The sequence below is a fragment of the Homo sapiens genome, chromosome 10, assembly GCF_000001405.40.
Source record: "Homo sapiens chromosome 10, GRCh38.p14 Primary Assembly".
NCBI classification, from domain to species: domain Eukaryota; kingdom Metazoa; phylum Chordata; class Mammalia; order Primates; family Hominidae; genus Homo; species Homo sapiens.
In genome coordinates this window covers 119,966,628-119,975,499 of record NC_000010.11, presented here as the reverse complement: position 1 = coordinate 119,975,499, position 8,872 = coordinate 119,966,628, and positions in this window count along the sequence as shown.

Genomic DNA, 8,872 nt, shown 5'->3' with positions numbered 1-8,872 from the left:
CAAGAAAAAGAACCGAAGCTTCCCCACACCCATGCCTTCCCCACGCCTAGCATCCAGGAAGGGAAGAATGCAGAACAGTGGGCAAGAGTCTGGCATTTAGGGGCCATTTAGTTGTCTGTGGAGGACCACAGACACCACAGAGAGTGCCATTGAGGACCCAGTGACATAACCAGGGCAGGAGGCCGAGGTAGGACCAAGACCACAGGAGAGCCAGGAAGGCTGCCTCAGTGGCATTTGTGAAAGCTCCGCCCCAGCTCAGCAGCCACCCCGAGAATGCCTGGCCTTCAAGATGAATGTGATTGAAGTCACTGATTTTATTTCAAATGGAAGGGACCAGATTGCATTTTCCTGTATCACACAAATGAAGGCTAGAGATCAGAAATTAAATAATAGAAGACAAAAAAAATTATATTCCTTGTACACCCAAGTCTATAGAAATGTGCACCACTCTAGAGAGAATAGATGAGAACGTGTCCTCCCCTTGCCATTGGAAATACACAAGGGCCTGCCATAGGCGACAGCCCCTGAGGGGTGGGCACTGAGGGTCCCATCTTGCTTCTACCTCATCAGTTGCAAAGTCACCCAAAGCAGCCAACAAGGTCTTGCTGGTGCCACCCCACAGTCTGGGGCACTTGGGACCTTATGACATGCCATTGCTGTCTGCCATTCAGTCTGCAGGGCCCTAATCTGTTTGCTGGCTCTCTTGGGACCTCATTGGTTTTTCCATCCCGCAGGCAGAACACAGCCTGGCTGTGATTTGGAACGTGACAAGGTAACCACGACGAGAGTGAGTTAGGCCCAGCAGCAGCCACTGTCCTGGCAGGAGCAGAAGGACCAGATCTGAGTCACCACCTTCCTCGTTCCGGCTGGGCAGGGCCCTGGCCCCATTTCTCGAGGTCCACCTCTTCAGCCTGCACTTTCTCAGGGGAAGGAAGCCTCCAACTCCCTGCTGCTCCTTTCCAGCCCTTTCTTGACAAAACTCACAGAATTAACCCCAGGAGGCTTCTCCCAGCCTCCCAGGCAGCCAGCCTCCAGCACTCCTCCTGCTGTTTCTTTAACCCCTTACCTCTGGGGCGGATCCACCGTGGGTCAGTGCTTCTGAGGCCTCCTGGATGTGCAGGGTGACTCTGGCCCCCTGCCAGCATCTCCACGATCACAATGACACAAAAGCCCGGGTGTTCCCCGGCTGGGAGGCGCTGTGGCAGGAGTTCTCCCATTCTCGCTAAGGAGGGAGGGGGGTATTTTTTCCCCAAAGGGTTGAGAAATGACCAGATGGGAAGAGCTCTGGAGGGGCTGCCATGGGGTCCAGGGTCTTTGGGTGAGCACCTTCTTGGACTGTGGGAGGCAGGAGCAGGAGGCCCTGGGGAAGATATTCCAAGCTCAGCCTGGCTCCTGGCCCTGTTACTGGCATTTAAGCCAGAATAGGACTCCCAGGGAGGATGTGCACTAAGTCCCCAAAGACAGGTGAGTGACCTTCTCTGAACCCCACTTTCCTTGACTGTCAGAAGGGACACAGGCACTTTCAAGGGCTTTGGTGAACCGCATAGGTGGCCCCAATAAACAGTAGCTGTTCCTATTTCCTCTCCCCAGCACCAGCTGTTATTCTCCATACTTTTTCACAGCATCCTTAAAAAGACAGGTAATGCAGCAGGGCGTTAAGGCTAAATACTTAGTATTTTACATATGCCTATCCCCCCACAAGACTGCGTTTAACAAAACTGCACATAACTCTTTATTTCCCTTAAAATAACATAGGGGCCAGCTGCGGTGGCTCACGCCTACAATCCCAGCACTTTGGGAGGCCAATTCAGGAAGACAGCTTTGAGGCAGGAGAATAGGGTCTGAAGGCCCCTAGGGAACCCACAGCCGATTCTGCTGAATTCCTAGAATGGAATCAAAAGGAAAACTCCACCTCTCCACGCCCAAGTAACAAAAGGATCCGCGGCCACTCCCTTTACAAACCCGCCCCCTCCACTTTTCTGCCTTGCACATGAGAAATGAAAGTATCTCTGATTGGTCCCCTCCTGCAACCAATCAGACTGGTTGTAGGCCAAGTCTTCATGCATAACTTTGTAATTTCACTTCAACTTCTGATTGGTCACCTTCCACAACCAATCAAACTGGTTGCAGGCCACTACTTTATTTACATAGGTGTTAACCAGGTAACAAATGGGAAACCTCTAGAGGGCATTTAAACCCCAGAAAACTCTGTAACCAGCACTCTTGAGCCACTTATACAACTCTGCTCCCACTCTGTGGAGTGTACTTTTGTTTTAATAAATCTGTGCTTTTGTTGCTTCATTCTTTCATTGCTTTGTGCATTTTTTTTTTTTTTTTTTTTTTTTTTGCTTAATTATTTGTTCAAAACACCAAGAACCTGGAGCACTCATAGTCAAGACCCTCCACCAGTAACAGCTTGAGGCCAGGATATCAAGACCAGCCCAGGCAACACAGCAAGACCCCATCTCTACAAAAAAAAAAAAAAAAACAAAAAAAACAAAAATTAGCTGGGTGTGGTGGCGAACACCTATAGTCCCAGCTACTCGGGGGGGTCCTTTGAGCCCTGGAGTTCAAGGCTACAGTGAGCTACAGTCACACTATTTTACTCCAGCCTGGGAAACTGAGTGAGACCATGTCTCAAAATAAATGAATAAATAAAAATAACATAATAACATAGGAAATATGTTGTAGCAGGACGAGCTGCAGACCAGAACCCCTCAGACACCGACTTGTGAAAGGAAAGGGCTTTATTTAGCTGGGAGCATCGGCGGACTCACGTCTCCAAAAACCGAGCTCCCGAAGTGAGCAATTCCTGTCCCTTTTAAGGGCTTACAACTCTAAGGGGGTCTGCGTGAGAGGGTCGTGTGATCGATTGAGCAAGCAGTGGGTACGTGACTGGGGGCTGCATGCACCGGTAACCAGAATGGAACAGAACAGGATGGGGATTTTCACAATGCTTTTCCATACAATGTCTGAAATCTGTAGATAACACAAGCAGTTAGGTCAGGGGTTGATTTTTAACTATCAGGCCCAAGGCACAGTGCTGGGCTGTCTGCCTGTGGATTCCATTTCTAACTTTTAGTTTTTACTTCTTCTTTCTTTGGAGGCAGAAATTGGGCATAAGACAATATGAGGGGTGGTCTCTTCCCTTAATGTAAAGAAATTTGTTTAGAGATCTACTTCAAAAGTTGTGTAATTTATTGACTCTGCTAGGTACCAGGAATTGTGCACATGCTTTACAGACATAATCTTACAACTCTGAGAGTGAATATTATTTTACAAATGAGGACAAAGAGTCAGATACTATCACCTCTGTTTTACATGAGTAAACTGAGATGCCAGGAAGTTAGGTCATTAATAACAACAACAGGTAATATTAAGCATTAACTATTCTGTTTACAAATATGAAATAAAAATATAAATGTGTGTGTGTGCACACATGATTGCCAGGCACATACTAATCATTAAACATGTCTTAATGACTTAATACTATAAGGAGTTTTCACTTAATCCTCCCAACAACCCTGTGAAGAAGGTATTTTTATTATCTACATTTTACACATGAGGAAATCAGGTCATGGAGAGGGTAAACAAATTGCCTTGGTCACATAGTTCCTAAGTGGTGGAAAAGAGATTTGAACTCAAGGAGAAAAGATCTCAACTACTTCAATATTCTGCTCAGTCTCACAGCTGGTAAGTGGTAGAGGTAGAACGTGAAACTGTGTCTGACTCCAAAGCCCACATTCTTGACCACCTTGATATTAATAATTTGTGAGGATCATAATTCATTTATTTAGAGAAAGCTTACACAGCCTGTTTGTTCTGGTGGGGACTGAGTCCACACTGACCCCCGGAGACTCTCTGGACTGTGCCTTATTCCTAAGCCTGTAGGTAGCGATGCTGTGATAGACATCCAGACAAAATAAGCTAGACAGTTAGGATTCCATGAATAATAATATCCATGCCCTTCAGACTCTACAGTAATGCTGCTCTCAAAATTCAGATGTCGTAGTTTCTAAAGCAATTCTAATTTGTTCTCCAAATGAATGTGAACTCTCCCTCCTCTAAACCCTCAGAGCATTTATTGGACTTTCTCATGGAATTTTCCATATTCTGACTTAACATTATGGTTACGGGAGGACTACTCTTCTCACCCCTTCTAGAACTAAGGCCTTGAGAATTGTATGGTTAAAAGATGAATTTGGGTGCTATATAAGAGGCACCTCCAAATAACAATGGCTTAAACATGGTGGAAGTTTGTTTCTCGCTCACATAATGGTACAGCTGCAGAGTGTGGGGCTGGAGGGAGGCTCTGCTCCACAGTGCTATGCAGGGATCAAAGCATCTCCCATCTGTGGCTCTGCCATCTCTAGAGGACTGCCTTCTGCTGTCCACAATGGCTCAATGCATTATAAGGGGTAAAGGTGGAAAGGGAGGGCAAGCCCCTGCCTTTTAAAGACAGAACCAAGTTAAAAGTTCTGTTATTATAATACCAAAGAGAGGGAGAACAGATAATGAAAGGAAATTAGCCATCTCAAGCGGCCATGCCTTAGGAAATACGTTCAGAATGATGCTATGTGCATGCAGACGTTTCTTCATTCAACAAAGATGAATAAAATGCCACTATATTTCATATCCAATGCAAGGCATTTATAAACAATGAATGAATACATGAATGAGTCCCTTTTTTGGAAAACAATCTGGAGGTAAGGCCATCAGATAATTTAAAAGATGGACACAAGTAATTTCTTCCCATAGAAGGTTGTAGATACAAACAGATATATTTTAAGCTGAACTTTTTGTAGCTTGCTGAAAAATATGGAAAATCAATTATAAAGAAAGTAAACAAACACCCCTGATTTATCAGGCTATGCTGCCACCAGCAAAATATATTCCAGAGTCTGAGTCCTGAATTTTTTACTTTGATGACTTTTTCTGTATTTTTTTCTGAAACATACTTTTATTTTTCCCTATACAAAACAAAACACACAAATTGTCACTTATTGCATTTAGACAAATACATGGCTCCAAAATTGAATCCCTTCTGTGTCCTCTGTAAGATAAACACTCAGGGGATTTCATCTGGGAGAAGAGCCAAAAGTCCAATTCCAATTTATTATTATTTCTAAATAATACATAAACCACCACATAAAGTCTTTAATAATAATGTTGGTTGAGCTGCCACTGGAATGCATCACTGTTGTCAGACATAGACATCACCAACTCAGCTTTTCTCATTTCCCAAATTCCATTAAGATTTATCTCCATCTTCCCAGATGGTGCCATCACCCTCTCTACATCTCCCCACCATAAACAAAGTCCAAAAAATGTTTTGCACATTTAGCATTTTAACTAAAATGCCAATAGTAATACTAAAGCGTAACATTTTTAAATTCAAATGTGAAGAGACGGTGAAAGTTTTGAATTCAAATGAAGTTGTGTTTAATTAGAATAAGGTTTTCAGAACTTAGGCTTTAGGTTTCAAAGAGGCAGAGGTGAGTCTTGGGAATTTATATTTTCTTCCCCCATGCTGTTAACTTGTGATGTTTTTCTCTACATTCGTTGCTCCTGAGAAGCCTGACTTAATTTCTCCTTTCCCTCCTTGGCACACAGATCTGCTATATTTACACACACTGCTATTTCCCAGAGAACAGCTGCTGTGCCCAGTCCAACAGCTTTCTTTCCTCCAACTGCACTGGGCTTAATAAAAAGGAATAATTCCTAGGCAGTAAGACTTCCCCATCTAGGGGAAACAAAGCATTGTCCCTCAGAAAGAATTTTGCAATCCTCATTTTATGTAACTGAATTCAATACACATTTATTTAGCTATTGCAGAGAAAGTACTTGGCAGTTGGTCTGGCATATAGTTACTATTTGCTTAAAACTTACTATAATTAAGGCAAAATTGTAAGTCCACTGTGGAACACTGCAACTCACTGGTTTATTAAAAATACTCACAGATTGGCCAGGAGCAGTGGCTCACGCCTGTAATCCCAGCACTTTGGCAGTCCGAGGCGGGCGGATCACGAGGTCAGGAGATCAAGACCACGGTGAAACCCCGTCTCTACTAAAAATACAAAAAAAAATTAGCTGGGCGTGGTGGCGGGCGCCTGTAGTCCCAGCTACTCGGGAGGCTGAGGGAGAAGAATGCCGTGAACCCGGGAGGCGGAGCTTGCAGTGAGCTGAGATCGCGCCACTGCACTCCAGCCTGGGCGACAGAGCAAGAAGACTCCGTCTTAAAAAAAAAAAAAAAAAAAAAAAACTCATAGATCATTAACTATCCATTTATTCATTAGCATATATTTATGGAGCAAGTACTAAGTGCTAGACATCACATTCTGTTTCCAAAACAAACATGGCCCCTACTTTCACGGATCTTCCAAGCTAATGGGGAAGGCAGACAACCAAATAATTGCGCAAATGAATGTAAAACTAATTGTCAAATTGGAAAAGTGTTATAACTTTTATAAAGCCTGGGTCTCTGTGGTTCAATTTCCTGGCAGGGTCACAGTCAAAGAAATACAATCTACCAAATAAAAATACTTTCAGTAGGGTTCAGATCTCTGTCAAGGTCGTGAAAAACAAGGAAAGACTGAGAAACTGTCACAGACCAGGAGACTGGGGAGATGTGAAAACTAAATATAATGCAGCGCCCTGGATTGGAACAGGAAGAAGATATTAATAGAAAAACTGGTAAATCCAAATAAAATCTGGAGTTTGGTTAATGAACTATATAGTTTGGTTAATGAACTATATAGTTTGGTTAATGAAACTAACCAATGTCAGTTTCTCTGTTTTAACAAATGTGACACGGTAATGTAAGATGTTAACAATGGTGTAAATTGGGTAAGGGACATATGGAAATCCTCTCTACTATCTTTGCAATCTTTCTGTAAATCTAAAATTATTTCAAAATAAGAAATATATATTTTTAAGAGCAGCTTAAGAGGACACACATTTTTAAGTGGAAGAGCTAGGTCTTAAATCTATCTCCAAATCCCATGTTGTTAATTGAGCTCATAGTCCACACTGAAAGACTTACCAGGGAAAAGGGCCTAATGAATGAATTGTACCTGGGCCTCCAATTTTTCACAACAGTTTATACATCAAGGGCCTCCAATTAGCTCATGTCACTTTTCTGGAACCTCTGCAACTTGAATATGAATATTCCTTAGTACTATTAGAAAGTAACCCTAGATCATATAAATCCTTGAACATCAATAGCCTGGATGTCATAGTAACAGCACTTATTAGTTTAATCTACAACTCATTTAAAACGTCATCTTCTAATAACCAGATGGCTGATCAAAGCACAGTAACGCAGAGGCCAAGGTCATGAATTTGAATTTCCAGATACATACTAGTTTACTTTAATCACTTCTACTGTCATAATCTCCACCACTAACTTCAACTAATAATCTTTCAATCATAAGAAGTCAGACTCTAAAATAAGAGGTGAGTTTTATTGTGTGCCAAAAAAAAAATGAGGAGCCGGTTGAATTGGGGGTGGGTGGAATTGCTCTATTCCTGCCAAAAAAAAAAAGTAATCATAACAGTGGTTAGAAGCAAAGAAAAGCTATTGTGTTTTCTGATTCAGCCAATAGTCCTACTGTATCCAATGGTATTAACTACCTACTACAGATTGACAACACCCAAATCAAACCTCTGGCCAGACACCTCTTCTAAGTTCTAAGCCACATAGCCACCAGTGAACTCATCCCTATAAACTTTATAAAATTAATCAGGGAGGAAGGGAGGGGGAGAAATGAAAATAAATCAAGCTTGCAGCACATTCAGCATTAATCATGAGGTCAGCTTGCTCCCTGACTACTTCTTCACAGTTGTTTGCCACCCATTGCCCCAAAATCACATAGACCCTAGATTATAGTTCCTTTTAACTGCTCTATAGATAACAACTTGAACTTGAACATTGTGAAATGTTGTTTTCCATTTGAGATATTCTTTCACGTCCTGCATACTGATGAAACTACTGATGCCAGCTGGTCTGATGGACCCCAAAAGGAGCCAACTCACCAAAGAATGCAGTTTCCACATCTTGATGATTTCATCTCCCTTATCCTGCCCAATCAATGACCCCAATGTCCTAGCCCCTTGCCCTCCACAATCTCCTTAAAAACCCCAGCCCAGAACTCCTTGGAGAGATGGATTTGAGGGTCCCTCTCATCTCCTCACTTGGCCTCCCTGCAATCATTAAACTCCTTCTCTGCTGCAAACTCTGCTGTTTCAGTTCATTGGTCAGTTACTGCACAGCTGGCATATGAACCTGGTGGTCCTGTAACACCTGCAACATATATCTCCTTCTAAATGTCCTAAGGATATCTCAAACTCAGCCTATTTAAAACGCCTCTTAGATTATATGTTCTCCTTTCAATCTCAATGAATGACACCACCCTTCAACAAGTTGCCCAAGCCAAAACTTGGAAGCCATTCTCAACCACTCTCTGTCTCTCAACAACAGTTCTGTTACCCTTCTTTCTCAACATTTCTTCACTCTGACTCCTCCTTTGTAACCCAATTTAGGCATCCTTTCCCATTCTATTTAAATAGACTTCTAACTAGTCATTTCCTTCTAGTATCTTCTCTCTCCAATGTCCATGGTCATTAGTTATATTAAAATGCAAATCCAATGTGAGGAAGTGAAGGCAGGTGGAGAGGTAGGTATGGAGTGCATGATGCAGGCCATATGAGGTATGTGTGTTTCATCTTCTGATTAGGGAACCTCTAAGCATTTTACTCAGGGGAGTGACATGGTCATAAGCTTTCTTTTGCCACTTAGGGGATGTAGGTTCTCATTGGTACTTAAATTTGTGTTTTTCTTATTGAGGTTGAGCATCTACTCATATACAAATTC